This window comes from Homo sapiens, chromosome X (assembly GCF_000001405.40).
Source record: "Homo sapiens chromosome X, GRCh38.p14 Primary Assembly".
Taxonomy (NCBI): domain Eukaryota; kingdom Metazoa; phylum Chordata; class Mammalia; order Primates; family Hominidae; genus Homo; species Homo sapiens.
Genome location: NC_000023.11, coordinates 124,949,448 through 124,971,964, shown reverse-complemented (window position 1 = coordinate 124,971,964; position 22,517 = coordinate 124,949,448). Strand labels below are relative to the sequence as shown.

Here is a 22,517-nt window from a genome sequence, read left to right as displayed (position 1 = left end):
CCACGCCTAGCCCGATTTAATTTTTTTAAAACTCAGGTTCTCAATAGGTAAATGTGCAAAAGCCCCATAAATAGACAGTTAATAAGCAAGGAAATATAACTAGCAAACTCGTACAGAAAAAGTATTCAGCCTCACTAATAAGGAAATTCAAACTAAAAGCACAATTAATTTACTTATTTTAAATAGACATTAAAAATAATACTCAAAGTTGACAAGGGTACAATGAAAGAAGAGAGTGTTCCCACACATTGCTAATGGCAGTGTAAATCATTACAATCCCCTAAATCCACAAAAATGTTCAAAGCTTTTGGCTCATTAATTCAACTTCTTGGAATTTACTGTAAGGAAATAATAATAAAAAAATTGAAGATGTTCATGGTATCTTTATATGGCTTCAGTTATAATACTTGTAAATGGTGAGGGAGGAGTGTAAATAGCCAACAATTGGGGAATGCATATGTAAATTACTGTGCCTTCACTCTACCCAGCCACTAAAAATGATTGTTACAGATATTGTGTAGAAGCATGCAAAAAATCATCTAGCGCGAAGGAAGCAACATGAAGAAATTTGTGTGCATATTATGACTGAAGGGAAATGGACCAGAATGACAGTAGTCACTCTTACAGGCTGGTAGGATTATGGGGGAGATTAGGTGATTATGTACTTTTTTTTATTATTATTATACTTTAAGTTGTAGGGTACATGTGCACAACGTGCAGGTTTGTTGCATATGTATACATGTGCCATGTTGGTGTGCTGCACCCATTAACCCGTCATTTACATTAGGTATATCTCCTAATGCTATCCCTCCCCCCTCCCCCCACCCCACAACAGGCCCCAGTGTGTGATGTTCCCCTTCCTGTGTCCAAGTGTACTCATTGTTCAATTCCCACCTATGAGTGAGAACATGCGGTGTTTGGTTTTCTGTCCTTGTGATAGTTTGCTGAGAATGATGGTTTCCAGCTTCATCCATGTCCCTACAAAGGACATGAACTCATCCTTTTTTATGGCTGCATAGTATTCCATGGTATATATGTGCCACATTTTCTTAATCCAGTGTATCATTGTTGGACATTTGGGTTGGTTCCAAGTCTTTGCTATTGTGAATAGTGCCGCCATGAACATACGTGTGCATGTGTCTTTATAGCAGCATGATTTATAATCCTTTGGGTACATACCCAGTAATGGGATGGCTGGGTCAAATGGTATTTCTAGTGCTAGATCCTTGAGGAATCACCACACTGTCTTCCACAATGGTTGAACTAGTTTACAGTCCCACCAACAGTGTAAAAGCGTTCCTATTTCTCCACATCCTCTCCAGCACCTGTTGTTTGTACTTTTATAGCTTTTATTTTCTCACACCCACAGCAGTTCACTTCTTAAGTGCTTTCTTAGAAAAACAAAGAAAGTTAAGAGGAGAATCAGTCAGAATTTCACCTTTCTTTTAAGAGCTTCCTAAATACAGTGTTTTCTGAATCAGTCAATCTGCATTAATGTAATAAGTCCTTATTAAGGAAAAATTATTGTAATAATTCCAAAGAGTACTATCCTCCTTTGCCAGCTATTCCTCAGGCACTGTGTGGCCTCATTTCCTCTATCTGTTGTGCTATGAAGGCCTGGTATCCTTAGGCAATGTTCTATGTACCCTTTAATTTATTTTTCTGAGGTGGAGTGAGACTATTTGGAGGAAGTTCCAAACTATAAGCATCTGCTGTGAGTAGGACCAGACTGTATTTTCTGAGGGTAAACCAGGAAACAGGTTCCCATTTTGAGGGGGCAGTGTATGTGATTAAGAATGAGAAACGGAAAGAAAATAAAAGGATAGTGGAGGAAAGGTTATCCCCAGTGCATAGATATATACTCAGGTCCATGGATTCAAAACAATATTTTAGTTCAGCTATGCTACAGTAGATTGGAGTATGTGTGAGAAGGCTAGGGATAGGGAGAGGAGGACAAAGGAAGAAAGGGAAGAGGAGAAGGAATGATAACTAATGTAAACATGGTCTTTATACTCATCATTTTATTTTTTGCAAATCAATCTAAACTTCCCTTCACATTTCATAAACAATTGTAGAATTTTAGAGTTGGAAGAGTTCTTTGAGATAATCCAATCTCCTTAGTTTACATTTAGAAAAAGAATGCCCTGAGAAAGGGGAGGTGATTTTCCTAAGATCATTCTGCCACATGTTCTGAAGAGCAGTGTAGACGAGTGGTTAAGAGTCGGGCCATTGGAGACAGACTGTAGGAATTGAAATCTCAGTCCTGCCGTTTACTACATGTGTGATCTTGGCAAGAAACTTAACTTCTCTGTTCCTTGGTTTTCTTTATCTGCAAAATGGGCATTTAAAACAGTACCTACCTCACAGGGTGCTACAAGAATTAAATGAGTTAATGTAGGAAAAGCACTAATATAGCACCTGGTACCTGATAACTGCTTTATGAGTTAGCTGCTACAGCTGCTGCTGCTGTTACTTTTATTGTGATAATTCTGTCAGTTGAAGGTCAATGATTTCCACATACTAAGTTGTCTCTCCCTAACCTTACAGTGACTAAATAAATGAACATAAGTCTCCATGGCTGTCTTCTAAAGTCACTTAGAGTTTGTCTTGTTAGCAAGTAGAGAGTTTAAAGCACAAGAGCAAGCCACAGATGTTGACATTTGAATTCATACTTTGTGGACTATCTGAAGGCATCTTCTGCAGTAAAAACTATAATTGACTTCTTTGTTTTGCACTCTGTTCCATAGCAGCATGTGTTTTCCATACACATTTGCTTTGTCTTAGAGTTTATCATTATCAAAATAATATAGAAATGATATTATTTGGATGTGAATAGCATTTTATATATATTTGATTTTTCTGTAAGTTGACAGTTTCATCATCATGTCTAAATAACATTTACTTGACAGTGGACCCCCAGGATGCCATGATGGGCACTGACTGAAAAAGTCAATTAAGCACATGGGAACCTATCCTTTACCATAGAGTATTTGGAACAACATTCTTTCAGAATTATTATGCTTTCAACCATTGGTGGATTTAAAATATTAATCTTTTTCTTAATGTTTTCTGCTTTTTTATTTTGAAAAAAATGAGCTATTTATTAGTGAATTCAAACTCTGTTTCTCAAGCCTTTGACAAATATCACAGTTATGATTTCACAACTCTAGGCACACATAATTGTGTGCACCTCCATATCACATGCTTTGAGAGACCTGGAAAGTTTTCCTTGTCACCTGGGTCCACTGACACAAATTTTAGGACAAAAAGTTATCGTTGAGTGTCGAGGAGCAGGAAAGGATTATTTTCTCTTAGTTTATACTACTTTTGTGGTTTGAAGGAAGAGTGCTTCCAAGGGCACTCAATAACCTTGAATAGATATGACATTCCTAGCTGATTCATGGCTATGAATAGTTATGATTGGAAATTTGAAAGGGTTTCCAGATGGCTATAGGAAAGTCTCTCTCTCTTTCTCTCTCTCTCGTTACAAATAAACCTATGGAGGGAAAAGAGAATGCCTAGGTTTCCATGCATAAAATTAAGGGTGATTTTAACATGATAAATCATATTTGCCAAAACACAACATTCAGCATTCAAAGTGAGACATTTTTCTTTTTTAAATTTAAATCGTTAGGTTTGAGTGGCATTAAGATTAGTAGAGATTCATAATCAACTGAAGTTTAAGTTGAAATGAAGTTAAGTTAATAAAGCTTAAGTTGAAATGAATTCGTTGAAATGAAGTTAGGTGAATTATTTTTACCTTTTAATTTTATTTTTGTATTTTAATTAATAGATTTAATTTTTTGGTGTTGTTTTACTTTAACAGAAAAACTAAGCACGTTTTTCAAAGTTTCTGTATATATGTTTTATCCCACTCAGCAACCATTTTTATTTACCTAAACTCTACTTTGAGTATTTAATATTCTTGAGCAGCTTAGAAATTTGAGACTATCTTTGTATATTTTTAATAATGCAACTACCCTTGTCAAATTTATTTTCCCTTGTTGTTTCCAGTATCTAGTCCACTAATACATTTCTTTTATAGTTCAGCTCTCACAGCCACTGAAGAACTTTACATTGGTCATTGTGATGATGACCCTAGTGGCAGTGTGGAGGATGGGTTGGAGCAGGAAGGGTATGGGGGAAGGAACATCTACAGTTCAGGCAGAACTGATGAGGGACTGAGCTAAAGCAGTGGCAACTGGGATGGAAAGGAAGAGAGAGACTGGAGATTGCAATGCGACCTAGCAATTAGCTAGATGCTTGTGTGGATGGAGGAGTGGTAAGTTCTAGGTTTCTGACTTGAACTACTAATGTGGCCATTAACAGAGATGGGGAAGTTTGAGAACATGAACACATTTTGGGAGGGAGGAAATACTGACTTGCCATACCTAAGGGACCTTCGAGTAAAGCTGCCCACTTTACAGTTGAAATAGGTGCACATAGCTTAAGAAAGCTCTCGGGGCTAGATTAAAGCTGTATGAATCATCGGCGTTCCATGAAAAGAAAAGACGTGGCTGGATATGGGATGGACCGGGGAAGCTGTGGCATTTGTAGAAAGGAAAGACCTGTTTAGACGTTAGGTGAATTTTATAGATGCTTCCTTTTCTGGGTGAAAGTCTAATCCTTGGCTGTAAAACTACATCTCTGGAAGCCTGCTATTGGTACAGTTCTCAATTTGCACTGTTTGTAGCAAAGTAAGACAACTGTCCACCTTTCTTCTTAGGTTTCCATAGCATCTCCTGAAGATCATGTTATGGAAACCTAAGAAGAAAGAGATTAAAACTGGTGTTATAGATGCTCAATGGAATTTCAATGGTTGTGGTGACAACTAGTTGAATCAAGTGCAATCCTTTTCCAATATCTTCATCTTTAGTGCTCAAACATTACTGTTTTTGTCTTTTGTGTATACAAGCCACTTCATTCTGCTTTGTAGTAGAGTTGTTTACTTATTGTGTATATTAAGCTATGAGTTCCTCAGGGGCCGAGACTATGTCTTATGCATTTCCACGTTCTCTCCAGCCCCTCTTGAGAGTTTTCAACAGTTGTTTATTTATTCATTCAACATGTATTGACCAAGTCTCTACTATATGCAAGGTACTATGCTTTTTCTGAATCATATAGCAATGAATAGAAGAGATAAAAATGCCTCCCTTCATGGAGCTTATGTTTTAGTGGGCAGAGACAGATGGCAGATGATAAGCAAATAAATAAAAAATATATAGTGTGTAATTTGGTAATAAGTTCTTTGAAAGACAAGAAGAAAGACGAGACGTACCATTTTTTGGTTTTTTTTTTTTTTTGAGACGGAGTCTCGCTCTGTCGCCCAGGCTGGAGTGCAGTGGCGCGATCTCGGCTCACTGCAAGCTCCGCCTCCCAGGTTCACGCCATTCTCCTGCCTCAGCCTCCCGAGTAGCTGGGACTACAGGCGCCCGCTACCACGCCCGGCTAATTTTTTGTATTTTTAGTAGAGATGGGGTTTCACCGTGTTAGCCAGGATGGTCTCGATCTCCTGACCTCGTGATCCGCCCGCCTCGGCCTCCCAAAGTGCTGGGATTACAGGCGTGAGTTTTTGGTATTTTTTTATGGGAGGTTGCAAAGGCTGTGAGGCACAAATATGCCTGGTGTTTTCACAAACAGCAAGAGGGTTAGTGCAGCTAGGGTACATGAGCAAAGGTAGAGTAGGGTACATGCTTCTGAGCAAAGGAGAGACGTGATATGACTTAGTTTTATTCTGGCTGCGGTGTGGAGGGCAGTAATGTAAGAAGGAAACCAATTAGGAAACAATTGCAATAATCCAGGAGGGATATGATGGCTTGAACTGATGTGGTAGTGGGAAATTGAAGAGATCTGGTTGGATTCTGGATACCTTTCAAAGGCAAGACCAACAGGATTTACTGATGGATTGCATGTGGGATGTGAAAAACAGGAGTCAAAAATGACTTCAAGTTCTTTGGCCTGAGCAAACAGAAGAGCCTTGTGGCCATCTATTAATATCAATATAAAGAATATTATGGAAGGATTAGGTTTGGAAAGGGGTGGGAATTAAGAGCTCACTTTTGAACATACTGTGTTTGACGTATCTTTTAGATACCCAAGTACAGATATTGAGTAGGCAGTTGGATATTCAAAGTTGTGGCTCAGGGTCAAGACCCATGCTGAAGCTATAAACTGAGAAGTTATGGGTGTGTAGACAGTATATGAAGCCAATATACTGGCGTGAGATTAGATTGTTGTTGAATCATTGGTGTGTGTATATATATATATATGTATATGTTCATATCTGCTGCTTTCTCTTTAAGCATGCTCATCTCTCATATTAGTTCAAACCAAACTAGGTGTCTCCATACACAGTTTGTAGGTTCAGGAGTTAAATAGTTTCTACTACGTGTGTGCCTAAAGTAATACTTAGCGGTGTGGGGGATATAAAGAGACATTAAGACTCACATCCTGCCTTCAAGACCTTCACATTTGATTAGGAAAAGAAGACCTTGACTTGTGAAACTGTTCATACCACAAAAGAAGAACCATTTAAAACATATATCAGTCAAATGTGTAAGCCTTTTTTAAAAAATCAGCCTACATAGGCCGGGCGTGGTGCCTCACGCCTGTAATCCCAGCACTTTGGGAGGCCGAGGCGGGTGGATCACGAGGTGAGGAGATCGAGACCATCCTGGCTAACTTGGTGAAATCCCGTCTCTACTAAAAATACAAAAAAAATTAGCCGGGCATGGTGGCGGGTGCCTGTAGTCCTAGCTACTCGGGAGGCTGAGGCAGAAGAATGGCGTGAACCCGGGAGACGGAGCTTGCAGTGAGCCGAGATCGCACCACTGAACTCCAGCCTGGGCGACTGAGCAAGACTCCGTCTCTAAATCAATCAATCAATCAATCAATCAAATTGATCAATAAAAATCAGCCTACATCATACTTTGAAAAGCTAAAAGCCTTTTTTGAATGATTTCTGTGTTCTATGTGCTTGGCATAAATGCAATAAGAATTCCAAAATATGAGATAGTGTACATGATAGAGGAGCCACCATTTGGATGTCTATAGATTTCTTTGAAAATACATATGGTGAAGAGCTGAAGAAAAATAAAAGAGTCAGTTTCACTGCAAAATAAAATCATAAAGTTAATTGGTTTCTAACTACATTTTTAAACATTGTATGAAAAGACCAAGTTGCAAAGTTGCAACAGTGGACTGAAATGGTGATGACAAAATAATGTAAAGAATGAAAATAAGAACATTTTTACAGGGCTTTTAAATTTACAGAGGACTTTGACATCTCAGATGACACTTGATCGTCTCGAAACTCTCCGTGCTAAGTAGAGCAGTTAATGCCTCTACTGGCCCTAAGACCTTCAGTGGCTCCTAGCTCAGCATTCTATGGGGAAAGGGGGTTCTTTCGGTGATTTATCATGAAGTTTAAAATTGCTATTTCCAAAACTGATTTAGATCCTGCTGTTGCTGTACCAGTATACTCACCAGAAGTGTTTACATCCTCTCAGTACTATGAAGAACAAAAATTTACCACCACCTAACTCATTAAGAATGCTCTGCAGGCCTGAGGCTCAAAAGCCACAATATGAGCACAAAGAGTTCAGTCCCCCTCAAGGATACTTTATTCCATGAGCTCTCTCACTCAGAATCCTTCCCTTACTCAGAGCCCCTGTCTTAAATGTAATATTAAACCAGAAGCAAGAATGTGTTCTTTCTGAATGTAGTTCTCTTACCAGTTTTCATTTCAAATGTGGAATGTGCAGGGTTAATCTTTGTACTCCTCACCACTTTCAAATCTGATAACGTTTTTTAATCTAACCACTGATTTTAACATTAAAAACACGCACACACCATAGAACAACGTTGTCCTCTATTTGAATTCCAATACAAATATTTTTGAAGGCTGTCTCTCTTTTACCTTGAGTATTTTCTGATGCTGCAACCTCCAGCTTAATCCTTAATGCTTGACAATGTATGCATGTAACACAGAGTGTTATTATTGCCTCCGGCTAGCTTCATGTCATCTAGTTTGTCTTTTACTTCTCTCCTTTGATGGTATTATCAGGACCAATTGTGAATCTGCCAGATGCATTTCCTCACAAAAAGATAAATCTAAGAAGGCTTGTGTTTTTCCCTTTCTCTTCCAGGACTGCTTGCATTAAAGGACTTCCTCATCCTTTTTTTCATGAAACTGAGCTTGCTTAATCAGAGATGGAGCAAACTGACTGCAAACCCTACCAGCCTCTACCAAAAGTCAAGCATGAAATGGATCTAGCTTACACCAGTTCTTCTGATGAGAGTGAAGATGGAAGAAAACCAAGACAGTCATACAACTCCAGGGAGACCCTGCACGAGTATAACCAGGAGCTGAGGATGAATTACAATAGCCAGAGTAGAAAGAGGAAAGAAGTAGAAAAATCTACTCAAGGTATGTTTTTATTGGATCTTTATAACAAATATTATTTCTCATTAGAGAATGCTTGTGTGCATAAACTTTGTTTCAAAAATAAATTTGCTAATGTTAACTGGTTAATAATTCGCACTGCTTATATATGCTCAGAGAATCTATTGCATATGTCAGCCCAGCTGAGGTTGTAGGTTACATGTGCTTTTTATGGATTATGCATGAATTTGGATGCTGCAGTCCTCTTATCAGAGCATTCAAAATTTGTGTAATCCTACAAATAGCCATTTATAGACTGAAGGATAAATAATTTATAGTAAGATGAAAAGTAAACAGCTAAGTGCTTTTCAAGCCATTGCTTATATGGGACAGAAGTCTCAAATAAATATTTGGCTGCTGACAAAGCTAGCAGGTTAGTGGAGACCACCAAACAGGGTTCCAGAAAGTCTATCACCGTAATGTAGAAACATTGTGTAGCCGAGTCTGAAAGGAAAGTAAGAATTTTTTAGAACCCTTCCTACAATAGCCATATTTTGGAGCATATTCTTTGGGCAGTCTTAGTTTCTCAATTATGGATTGACAAGACAGTTTCTAACAAAAAACTAGTAGAAATACGATTTCCTGTTCCAATTGATAGATAAACTGTGTTAGACACTATTTTAATGACGTAGAAGATACTGACATTGGCACAAGGTTTTTTGTTTTTTTGTTTTGTTTTGTTTTGTTTTGTTTTGTCTTGTTTTGAGACAGAATCTCACTCTGTTGCCCAGTCTGGAGTGCAGTGGCGCAATCTCGGCTTACTGCAACCTCCACCTCCCAGGTTCAAGCGATTGTCCTGCCTCAGCCACCTGAGTAGCTGGGATTACAGGTGCGCCTCACCACACTCAGCTACGTTTTGTATTTTTAGTGGAGATGGGGTTTCACCATGTTGGTCAGGCTGGTCTCAAACTCCTGACCTCGTGATCCACCCGCCTCAGCCTCCGAAAATGCTGGGATTATAGGCATGAGCCACCGCGCCCGGATGGCACAAGTTATCTTTTTTATGAATAAGTTAATGCTGAGATAAAAAGTAATAGACTTAATTTTCTATGTCCTCCAAGTGTGGACTTGACTAGCAACAACAGCAAAACCTGAGAATTTTTTTAGAGTGTAAATTCTCCAGCCCCACTCTAGACATATTGAGTCAGAAACCCTGGGGGTGGGACCCATTTGTGGTTTAACAAATCCCCAGGGGATTCTGATTCCTGCTCAAGATTGAAGATTACTGCTTGAACCCCGAAATATTTTTACTCAGATGGCTTCAATGATCACATCTATTTGAGTGACCTTCAAATATTTATCTTCAGACCTAACCTCCTTCCTAAACTCTAGTCCTAAATTTTCAGTTAACCTCCCCGGCATTTCCAAATGAATAATACACTGACACCTCTAAACCAGTCTATTTAAAGTGGAAGCAATCATCTTAACACTCCTAATCCCACTCATCTTCCTTGTATCACCTACATCTGTTAATGATGCTCCCATTCTCCCAACCACACATACTTACTATATCTAATCAGTTTCCTCATCCAGCAGAGTTAATCTCTACATCTCTCAAATCCATTTTCTCCTTTCCATTTTCATGATCATTACTCTCATTATATCTCACCTAGACTGTTTTTTGTTTCTTTACTGGTCTACCGGGATCTCACCTCATCTCTTTTCAATCCCTTTGCTGTGCTGTTACATCTTTCTTGGGATACAATTTGCTGCTATCTCTCTTTATGCATATTCAACCATCTTTCAAGGCCTAGCTTACAAGCATCCTTTCCCACTGAATCCTTGCCTCACCATCACCCCCAACATCATCACTGTTTCACTGTGTAGGTGATCTTCCTCTGTGAACTTTGAAAATACATTCTTTTTACTTTTTTTTTTCTGACAGAGTCTTACTCTGTTGCCCAGGCTGGAATGCAGTGGCATGATCTTGGCTCACTGCAACCTCTGCCTCGTAGGCTCAAGTGATTCTCGTGCCTTAGCCTCCCGAGTAGCTGGGATTTCAGGTACGCGCCTCCATGCCTGGCTAATGTTTTTGTATTTTTAGTAGAGATGGGGTTTCACCATATTGGCCAGGCTGGTCTCGAACTCCTGGCCTCATGTGATCTGCCCGCCTCGGCCTCCCAAAGTGCTGGGATTGCAGGCATAAGCCACCATGCCCGGCCTCTTTTTAACCTCTTCTTATGGTTATATATATTCTCCTAGACTGTATACTCAATAAAGATGGGGATCATGACAGATCTCTATTTTCCATAAAATTTTGCATATAATATATGCTTTATAATTGTTTCATTTAAGGAATTAGTTGCTATCAACTGAAATATAAGTGCTTATCATGCATTGAAAACTATTCTTTAAATATTGCCATGTCAAATGCAATTATTACAAATGAAAATTACAGTACTCTAATTAGTACTGGAATCTTACATTTTAAAAACAACCTTAAATTGAGCCAAAATTTAAGATATTCATTCTAACAAATATACATTAAATATTTGTGATGTTAACTATATTACTCATTTTCATCCCTTAACGTAATTGGTAAAAGTTTTATATCTTTCTTTTCAAGGAATTCATTTTAATATTTCCCATTTTTTTCAGTTAATATCATGTAAGTTCGTTCTAAAATAATTCTCTTCTTCTGCCTGACAATTGGGAAATTATTTCCTATGGAAATGTTTTTGGCTTTAGGAAATGCCTAGTTCTCATTAAAATACTTATCTGTAAGTTTGTCTTTACAGAAGATGAATTTACAATTGTGATTTATGGGTTGTGGGTTTAGGGTGTAGAGTGGTTGACCTAATATATTGTGAGTAGAAATAAGAATGCATTCTGGTGACAGTTCTAAAAACATAAGCAATTTTATGCTGAGTCAGTATAAAGAGCTGGCCAGCCTCAGATTTTGTCTGTGCAGTTTCATCAAAAGGAATTTGGGGTGAGGGAAGTTTGTCTCTATGATGTCATTCTAACGTCCTTTCAACGGATTCTTTTTATTCAATAAGCTTTTATTTACAAATTAATATGTGTCAGACCTTGAAGCCAATGCTGAGGATGGAGATGACTGCTTGCAGGAAACTTATAGTGCAGTGGAGAAAATAGACACTCAAAACACATTATTGCAATTAAATGTATGAAGTGGTTTTACAGATAAAAAAGGTGCTGTGGAAGTACACAGAATGAAACAATTAACTTCTTTAGAGGAATCAGAGTACATAGAAAGGTGATATTTGATCTAAGTTAAAATTTGAATAAAAGTTTACCAGAAGGACATTCCTAGAGAGCAGATAAGCAAGTGCAAAGTATACAGCTCTGAAGAAGGCCTGTAATGGTGAAACATTCAATATGGCTAGAGCAAGGAATGTTGGAGCCAGATTGTGAAGTCGCGCATGCCCAATTTAGGAGTTTTTTAAAATTCCCTTTAAGCATCAGAAAAGAAAGCTTTCAATTAGTGGAGAATTTCATGATCAATTGTAATTTTTAGGATAAGAAGTGTATACAGGGGAATTGTAGAAGTGTAGGCAGCAGTGTAGAAGATTGATTGCAACTGGAAATAATGGGATGCAGGGAGAAAAATCTGTGAGGCCACTGAATTAGGCTAGAGCTAAGAATCGCATTAGAGGTCCAAACAATGTCTGTGGAGATGAAGAGACACACTCAAGAGATATAAGTGTGTTCGAATTGATAGAACCTCATAATTGATTACTGGTTGAGGTTGAAGGAAATAACAGAGTCAAGGATGACTTTAAAGTTTTAAGTTTGGGAAACTGAGAGAATAGTGATTAATTTACCAAGAGAAGGAACACAGCAGGAGGAGCAGGTTTGGAAGGGAAAATGAGTTTCTTTTTAGACATGTTAAGTTTAAGATGCTGGTATGACATCCAGGTAGCTTTTCCCATCAGCGATTGGAAAAGTGTGTCTAGGATTCAGAACAGATCTGGGCTGTTGTTATAAGTAGATTTGAGCTCATCAGTGTCTCAGAATAGAGATGCCAGGGGATGGATGAGATTACCCAGGGAGAGTGTATAGAAGGTTGAGACTAGAAAAAGGCCAAGGACAAAAACCTGAATCTATCATCCATGAACTGACATAAACACATTTTGAACCAATTTATATTTTTAGCCAGCACCATCCTTCAGTGCACTGACTTATATAAAATAAAGTATACAGACCCGGGAACTAAAAGTCTGGAAACAGTATCTCATCTGCCACTGACTGCCAATCAGTAGAGACACCTAGGAGGGAAAATATGTACCCCTTTGAAGGAGAAATGACTTATCTTATGTTAGGCGAAATAGTGGGCCTAATTATCATCTTTTTTTGTAAGATCTGGAATCCTCTTTATTGTCTTAGTCCATGTATTACCACCTGTGAGTCAGAAAAAAATGTTTTTAATTTTTGCAAATGTATGTCAGTAGTTGAATCTTGCATCAACCAAGGTAAAGTTGAGCCTAACTCATTATTTTAAAGGAAGAAGATCTCAAAAAATAATTGAGTTTTAGATCAGGAAGGATGAATGCAAACAAAATGTTGATTGGGCACCTGCTATGGTACCAGGTACGGTACTAGATGCCTTTTAAGTTTACTAGTTATGTAAACTTAAGCAAGATACTTCAGCTCTGAATCTGCTTTTTCTTCTGCAAAATTGACTTCATCATCATCACCATCATCACAATAATAATGATAAATTTGGAATTGTACCTATTCTATTCTAGCACTCTGCAAGGTGCTTTACATTTGCTCCTCATAAACACCTGATGAGGTATGCGCTATTATCCCCAGTTTACAGATGAGATAACTGAGGCTTGGAGAGACATAACTTGCCAGAGGTTGCACAGCTAAAGGAGAGGTGAGAGTTAGGATCAGAAATCAAGTCGATGGCTCTAAAGCCCCCATTCTTCACTATACCACACTGTCTTCCATACCTATGTCAGGAGGTTGTGATAAGTATTGAATGCCATCATGAGAGTGATGATCTTCAGGAATTCAAAAAATGTTAGTTTCCCTTCATTTTCTTCAACAACCTTGCCAGCCTCCAGTGACCAAGCGTTTATAAGGAGGTTAAACGCCTTTTCATTCTGATTATCATTAGAAAAGGGCAGATGATATGCTCTATAATTTACCATGAAATATTCCTGAGTCTGCTTATTTCCACTTTTTAGGGAAGTTAATGTTTTATCCAATTGAAGACTTGTTTTGAGAAGTATTAATAAGAGAAAATACTCTATACCAGCTGAAGATATGTTCATATTATCTTTATTTTCCAAAACAGCAGTGCCCTACTCCATGTATATGTGGAATGCTGGACTCTAAAACTGAATTTCTTATTTTCCAAAAGCTTTTGAATTAAGGGATGGACACTAATATAATATTATTCACAATTCTTTGCTAACAGGATGAATGAGCCCTAGGCAGGCTTATTTCATATGACTTTTGGCAGGTTGAATAGCAGGGGAAGATTTCCTAGAGGCACACAGGCTAGCTATTTTTCCCAAGCAGCCTCACATCCAAGGGAGGCATCAATTAACTAAGAAATTAGTATTAAAAATGAAAATATAAATGCATGGAGATATATATACCAAGGGTAATAATTTTAGTTGTGTGAATTGGCCAATAATTTTATATAGATAAGATTAGTTTTTGAATATCTCCATTTTACTGCAAAGTAATTATGAATGAGAAGTCATCCATGCATAAAAAGGAGGTATGTTGAGGACCTGATACAAGTCTCACAAGGTCATAGACTCCTAAGGTATTACAGATGACACAAACATTTCATTTCTGTCATCTAAATCTGTTCTTTTAACGCTTCTTTTTCTCCGAATAGCATTTTTGTTTGGTTGGTTGGTTGTTTTTCTCTTCAGGATTACAACCTAAACCTATATCTCACATTATTGCCATCTGGTGGAAAAAAATTTAAACTGCCATTTTTTTTTTTTTTTTTTTTTTGAGTTGGAGTTTTGTCGCCCAGGCTGGAGTGCATTGGCATGATCTTGGCTCACTGCAAACTCCGCCTTCCAGGTTCAAGCGATTCTCCTGCTTCAGTCTCCTGAGTAGCTGAGATTACAGGCGTGTGCCACCACACCTTGCTAATTTTTGTATTTTTAATAGGGACGAAGTTTCGCCATGTTGGCTAGACTGGTCTCAAACTCCTGACCTCAAGTGATCTGCCCGACTCAGGCTCCCAAATTGCTGGGATTACAGGTGTGAGCCACCATGCCCAGCCCAAACTGCCAATTTTTTTTTTTTTGCCAAGATTACATGGAAGCAAAGTTTATCTGTCATCCATTCATCCATCCATCCAACCATCCATCCATCCATCCATCCATCTATCCATCCGTCCATTTGTTCATTTATACACTTATGCATCAGCATTTATTTAATGTAAACTATGTACCAGGTACTGTTCTAGGTAAATGAAGTTAATCTTGAAATAAATGTACCCTAGTGACTATGATTTTCTCTCTTTTTGCCCCAGTATGATAAGCCACTTCATCCCACAGGGAAAAATGCTTAAGCAGCACTGCCACCTGTGCAGTCTTTGCCCTCAAAATTTGAGAAGTGCATTTCTCTATTCTTATATCAGGCATTTAGCAGTAGTTTAAATGATTGTTTGCTTATATGTAGACAGTTTAGATATCAGTTCCTTCAAAATCCTTGAAAGAACTCTTAATCTCAGGATCTGTATTTACATGGCAAAGATCACAGATGGCAGGTGTAATATTAATGTGGCAAAACCTATGAAATGAAAATTTCAGCAGAATTTGATCACATTTAATGAATTGTCTGCTGTGAGCATACTATGCTTCTAGATGTCACAAGTTTCTAGCACAAAATCCATAATGACTGCTCTGAAAGAACTTAGACTGTAAGAGAAATTAGCCAAGTTATTTAACAATAACTCTAATTGGCTCATGTCTTTCAACTAGTAACATTTGTTCATGAAAATTCATTCAATAAGTATTTACTTACACAGCATCTAAAACTGGAATGGAATGTCCATGACACTTGTGCCACTGCTCCCTCTATTTGTCCCATGGAAGACATCCCTAATTAATCATGATGCTCTTTCCCCTGTTGAGACCAGCTTCAGCCTCACATCCCTTTCAAAATGGCATTTCACGCAAGCATTGTCAATCAATTAGAGTTGAAAAAGGACAAAACCTATTTCTAAACTTTGGTTTGCTTATCTGTACAAAGTTCTTTGTTAAACTATGAAGTTTATAGGTGAGTAAGAAGCAATCTTTGCCCTCAATAAATTCATAGTACAGTTGGGAAGGTACATGTCAATCAGCAATAGTGATGCAATATGATTGATGTGATAATAGTGGTATATGTAAAGTACCATGGGGGTCTAGAAGCTAGAACCATGCCGTGTATTCTGCCTAGGGCATGGTGACATTGATTATGAGAGAAATATCTAGCATTTATGCAACAACAGACCGGAAGTAAGGCACTTTAAATGGATTCTGTTATTTAATCTTCCCAGCAATGCTATAAGGTTGGGATCATTATTATACCCATTTTACAATGAATAAAATAAGCACAGAGATGCTAAGTAACTTGCCCAATATTACAGAGGTAGTAAGTGATAGAACTAGCATCGGAACCCAGGCAGTCTGAAATTAGAGCCCACTGTCATAACTACTATGGACAGATAGACTGCTGTAAATTTAGATCAATTTTAAAGAAATGGTGTCTGTGTGTGTGTGTGTGTGTGTGTGTGTGTGCGTGCGCGTGTGTTGTATCTGTTTATGCATGTGTTTGGAGACATGTAATATTGCTAAAATGTCCATATTACCCAAAGTGATCAATAGATTCAATGTAATCCCTATCAAAATCCCAATGTAATTTTTCTTAGAAATAGAAATAGGTGGTTCTATTCTATGAAACTACGGGAGTAAAAGAGATGACCAGTGAAAATACATACAATCAGAAATAATGAGAGCCAATTATCTTACCCTCAGAAGCACTGAATTTAAAATAGTGGGCAGAAGCAATGAAGTGGTCTTGATATGTCATAGAAGAACAAAAAGGAATGAGTATCACATAAGCCAAAGGAGGAGACTTTTCAGCAGGAAGATGTAACTAATATTGTCAAATAATAGACAGTAACACAGCCAGTTTAGAAGGTCATTGCTGACTTTAGACTAGAGATTGTCCACTTTGACTGGACATTAAAATCATCTGGAGAGTTTTACAAACCTCAATTCCAAGACTGTTCCCCAGACCAATTAAATCAGAATTTCCAGTGGGCGGGACTCAGGCATTTAAAAAAAATATCCTTGGGGGATGCCAATGTGCATCCAAGATAGGGATCCACTGCCTTAAAATAAGCAGTTTCAATAATATTCAATAATATTAGAGAAAGATGCCAACTCACAAGGATTTGAAGGGTGAGTGCAAGTGAATGTAGATGAGTTTATTGCCATAAGGCTCAACTGGAGAATGTTTCTGGATCTCAGTTGGAAGGAAAGGCTTTGAAAGGGGAATGTTCACTGCATCCTCTAAGACAGGAAGTAAATTACAAAATATAGTGGTGAGAAGTTAAAGTAGTTTATGACTTGATGGTCTCACCCAAGAAAAATGAGAGACAGGGTTATGTGCTGAAAGTGTGAATCAAGTCAAAGGCTTCAGATGAGTAGTGAGGTAAGTTTTTGACGAGGCCAAAACAGAATTGCACATGCCTATCTAGAGCTCAGGTGAGGTGGAACTGTAGATGGAGATGTGGGAACATTAATGACAATAAATATTGTTGACCACTATGTGCCAAGTACTCTGCTAACTGAGCTTGCATATATTTTTTATTTAGTCCTTATTTGCAACCCTGTGATGTAAAGATAATTATCATGGTGGTGGGAGGCAACCAAGCAGTAAACTCTGCCCCTACATTTCACCCTCCCTTGCCATTATGTCATCTTGATTTACTACTGTCACCATCAACTAGGAAGTTTTCCACTTAGTGCCAAAACCACAGATGGTCTGGGTTTTGTTTCTAACAAGAGAGGTAATATTTCCTTATATAAACATTTATACAACACATCCCTTCATATAAATGATTTTACAAATTTTGCTGATGAGTATGAATGTATATATTGTACAGGTAAGTCTGGAACCCAGTATTGGAGAAGGGAAAGAAGCCAGAAAAGTGGATAAATGGAGGAGGGAGGTTTATAGTGGTGCAGTGTAGATGTTGCACCTTCAGGCATCTTTTTGAAGGTCATCATTTCTGTAAAACTCCCTCTTTCCCCTTCATCAGTTAGCTAGGAGTATAGGTAACCACAGTCAGTGACAGTCCATCACTTCCTAGATACCAATTTATTACCAAATGGTAGGAGTCACCTAGTAGGGCTAAATTTGATTTAAATAATTTGCTATATATATTCTTAAATTAACTTTATGAAACAATATACAATTACAGCTAACTACATACGTATTACACAAATGTAATTTTACCTTTGACCATCACGTCTCTTTGTGGACATTCTTTAGCTAGGAAAAGCTAGGTCAGTTTCAAAATTCTTTGGTCTTGCTGCTTCTGAGGCTACATGACTTTTTGATCTCAGTCTGAAAATAGCTCTTGCCTCTGCGCATTCATTCTATTTCTGTGGTCTATCTCTGAGCCCACTTTGCTCAATTCTATGTTCAACCCTTTGCTGCTTCTTCCTAAATCTAGATTAAAAACTGTACCATAGTATGAGAATTGATTCTAGTGTTTTCTTCTTAAATAACTCTTCACCAAATGGAATTGTGTATTTCTTTTGAGGATCTACATAATATCAGAAGGAAAAGACTGACTCCCTGGCTAAGTGTCACATAGATGATTGTCCCCTGGGAAACAAAGCAACTGGTTTTTGGGGTACATAATTTTGTTCCTCCTTTTAAATTACTTCAGCTACTGGGCAGGATCAAAGGGGATACATATTCATGGGACTGTGAAGACTGGGAAAAAGAGCTTTGTCTTTTTTTCTTTTAATACTTTAGGACCCATTTATTATATAATTAACACAAAGAGGCAGAGACACGGGTCAGTAAGATAATCTGAATAGATATCATGGCTAACACAATAGATAACATGGCTGAAGTAGCGGGACTGTTCAAGAATGATGTAAAAGGAAAGTTAGTGAAATATAGAAGGAATCAGTTGCTAAACCTAAAGAGTGAAGTGAAAAGACATGGATTTGATTCAGTAGATGACAGGGAACCTCGGAGGGTTTCAGTTCATAGGATTTATTGGAACTATATCCAAATTACATGCTGCTTCTCTTTTATTACAAGGATTTGAGGAAGATTCAGAAATGGCATTTTGAAATGTAGCAATATTTCATATTAACAGTCAAAAGCAGTTTTAAATATCTGCAAAGGCATAACCATGAGGTATGCCAACATGTCCTGTCAGGAAATCATCCTGTCAGCAAACTGTTATTCTGCTTTTTTTGGTCATCTGTGATGCAGAACTGGCTCCATATACAAATAAGTTCTGTTTATTTTCAACACTTTTTTCTCATTATAATTCTGAAAGGGTCTAGAGGTGACGGAAGATAAACTTTGAATCCCTTGAGACCTTGACAATATTCTCATTTGAAGCATTTATACCAAAAGATGAGAATTCTTCTGTCCCACCAGTATAAACTGAGCCATATGCAGTGCTATTTTGGTGCCAGTCATTCTTGTGACACATGAAGTATTTAGTTTTGTTACACCAGAGTCAAACTGTTAGAGGAAATGACCCTTTGTGTCTTTTATGTCATGGAAGAAAGCAGTTAGAAATAAGCTCAAAGGCAAAAATAATTAATAAGGACACACCCAAACCTTTCATGAAATTTAAAGGTTTGAGTTAAGATTTATTTCTCAAGCTTCAACTGAGATATTTATAAGGCTTCACTACTAAAGTCCAATTATGTCTTCTCATTAATGGTTGAAGTCCAAAGTTTCAAGAACACTTAAAAAATTATCACATTGACATACAACCAGGCTGAATGCTAATGTGTCTCAAATTATTCAATAAATATGGTCAAAAATTACCTTCACTGACTTGAAAAAAGTAATCTGTGGTTTTGATAAATGAGATGGTCACAAGAAATGCAGAATTTTATTGTATGTTTTATATGAATACATATACATACTAATGTCATATATTTAGTAATCAGATGCACATACACACACACACACACACACACACACACACACACCCCATACATAAGGAACAGTGAAGTGAATCAATTTGTAATGGGGTTGTTCTCTAATTTTTTTCTATTGATTGCATTTTCTTAAGCAAGATGTACTAGTATATGATAATGGAAAGGCAAAACAGAAGAGATGTTATATGGAGCAGCAACTAACATTCAAACATGGATGCTTATGCTCCTTTTTCTCCTGCAGCTTCCCATCCCACATACTCTAAGCCCCAGGTATGCTTGTCAAGTGCTAGTGGTTGGCAAGCTTTATGTTTCTTATTGGTTTCCTTCAGACTACCTCTAGGATAGAGGACAATCAACCTGATTTCTGAAGCATTCTAACCATAACACACAGCCAGGATATTTAGTCAGTGTGTTCTTTCGAATCTGCAATATGATTGGCAGTACCAAAGCATCTGGCCAATGGACCAGGGAACATACCTGATCAATTTAACTTAAAAGTACAAGCTACAAGCGGGCTGGCTGTACCATCATTCTGCCACCATGATTTTATAATTTACTTTAGAGCTTGGAACAGTATTTGGCACATAATATGTATTCAGTGAATATTTATTGAACAAATTAATTTATTAAATGTATAACAGCACTTTCTTTTGGTAAATTAAGTTGGAAAGAGACTCAAATTAGAATTTTCCCTATTTGTCACATTGATTGTTATATATATATATATATATATATATATATATATATTTTAACTTTTCATAGAAAAGTATGTGGTAGTTTTAGTAAATGATGTTTTGTCATAACATAAAAATCAAGTTTAGATAAAATAATTACACAACTGAAGTCCAAGTTCATAACCCTTTGCAGTTAACAAGAGTTAGTCTAAAATTTATTGGCTAAAGGCTTTCTAAAATACATGTGTCTTCTTTATACCACTCCTTGGTTTGTAGAATTGCATTTGGATGTGGAATTGGTTTAGAACATTGTTTGTATACACAGAAGGATGTTATTCTGGTCAGCTGCTTCCACTTTCATTGCACTAGACTATAGATATAGAAGCCATTGAAGAATGGCCTCAATGTAGAAATGAAGAGAACCTAAAAGCTTGGAGGTGGCTTTGTATTTTTGATATTTGTCTCATTTTTATCAATGCCAACTACTGGGGTGAATGGAAATGTAGATATTCCAATTAAACAAGGCTACTTTTTATTCTGTGGTTTTTTTTATTAATTGTGGCTGCACTGTACTAATAAGATGATTCAAAATGTATATTTGAAACTTTTATTTGCATGTATTTATGTACTGTGGGATTAAAATGTACATTTCAATATAAAGTCTGAAGCCTATGTTGTTAGAATTGTGACTTCATAAGAATACTGTGAAGTCTGTCACAGTAGAATTTATAATCTTACATGACATCCGAATTCAACAAGAGTGTCTTGAGAAAGTTGCCTTTTTAACAAACTAAACAGACTTTTCACAGTCATTCTTTTGGTAAAACACGTGCACTTTTACTAAAATAAAGCTTTAAAACATGGGAACTATAAAAGGAAAACAATTATGCAGTTTTTATTACTCAGGTTCGGAACCAAAGTTCATAGCACTTAAAACTGAATCACAAGGCTGTCAAGGACCTTGAGAGAACATACCTTTCAGGCAGGACCACACTAAGCCTACCCAGCTAAAAATTACATAAAATTTGATTCTATTTCAGCCCTATCACCAAGCTTTTGTGATAGTGTGTTGATTTTTTACTGCCTACATTATTATAATTCTACATAAACTTTCATTCTACTTATACTTAAGTCTCACCAGAGTTCAACTCAGCAATCACTATTTCCAAAAGAAGTATTCAATACCTATTTGTTGATCACTGATTTTGAAGGCATCAGGAAATTTCTACCATTTTCTAGTGTTTGACAGTATTTAGTACTAAGCACATTTTACTAAAATTCCACTGGTCCTTTCCTCTTAGAGAGCATGGAGTATAACCAACAACCATTAACCAGTAAGTAGATACTTTGATACAGTGCAATATTTTGCACGTAATAGGTCAAGTATTTAACAAACATTTAGTAAATTGAATTAAAAAGTTGATTGTTTTTGTTTTGATGTATTTGTTGCTTAATTATTCATGATGGTATAATAGAAAGAATACTGAACTAATAGCAATTTGGGTTCAAATTGCTCTTTTACTTAATAGCCTAGCACAGTATCATCACAGAATAAGTGCTTAGGAAATATTTCCTGAATGAATTAATGAATTGAGTTGAATAAATGAAGCCTTGGGCCCCCTTTCCCCTGCAACCCTCTCATATGGCTCCTCTCACTTTTCAATGTGCCTCAAGGATGGCTTTCCCCTGAGGCCACTGTTTCTCCATCAAGGGTGCCTTTGGAGCCTACTCTTCATTATCCTATGCTCTACAAACCAAATTCTTTACTACAGCACTAAGACTCCTCTACCCTATGTTAAAAACCAACAAGCCTCAATAAAATACTAAACCTACTTCATGGTACATGCCATTCAGCTATACCCCTACCAATCTTAAAGGCATGGCACCTCATTTCTTTTATGTTTTTGGATCTGATAAAATTATTCCTATTGATCCAAATTTGGCTATACTCCTGGGTACATTTGCACCAGCTCTCATCTCTGACTGAAACACTGTTCCAAACCCATTCTTCCCCTCTAGGGGAAGGAACAATAAAGTGGATCAATTTGTAATGGGATTGTCCTCTAATTTTTTACTTGGCTAGGTACTTCTCAGCCTGTGAGTCTCCATTAGAGTCTCTACCTAGAAACTACTTGCTCTGGAAAGCCTGCCTTGGTGCCGTGCAATCTTGGGTGGATGCTCCTGCTGTATACTCCTACAGCAGTCTGTACTTATTACTACTGTAGCACTAATCACCATGAATTGTAATTGGCTTGTTTGTTTCTC

The 22,517-nt window shown here is 37.3% G+C and overlaps 1 protein-coding gene across 13 annotated transcripts in view; it reads left to right on the top strand.

Annotated features, from left to right (window-relative positions):
* The window catches only part of TENM1 (teneurin transmembrane protein 1), an 828,410-nt gene that overhangs the window by 232,348 nt on the left and 573,545 nt on the right, over positions 1-22,517 (top strand). For all 13 annotated transcript variants that reach the window (XM_017029210.3, XM_017029211.3, XM_047441760.1 and 10 more), the window contains one exon: positions 8,148-8,428. In XM_017029210.3, coding sequence (XP_016884699.1) covers positions 8,212-8,428 — 217 coding nt within the window. In that variant the 5' untranslated portion in view covers positions 8,148-8,211. Of the gene's footprint in view, positions 1-8,147; positions 8,429-22,517 lie in introns of those variants that run through there.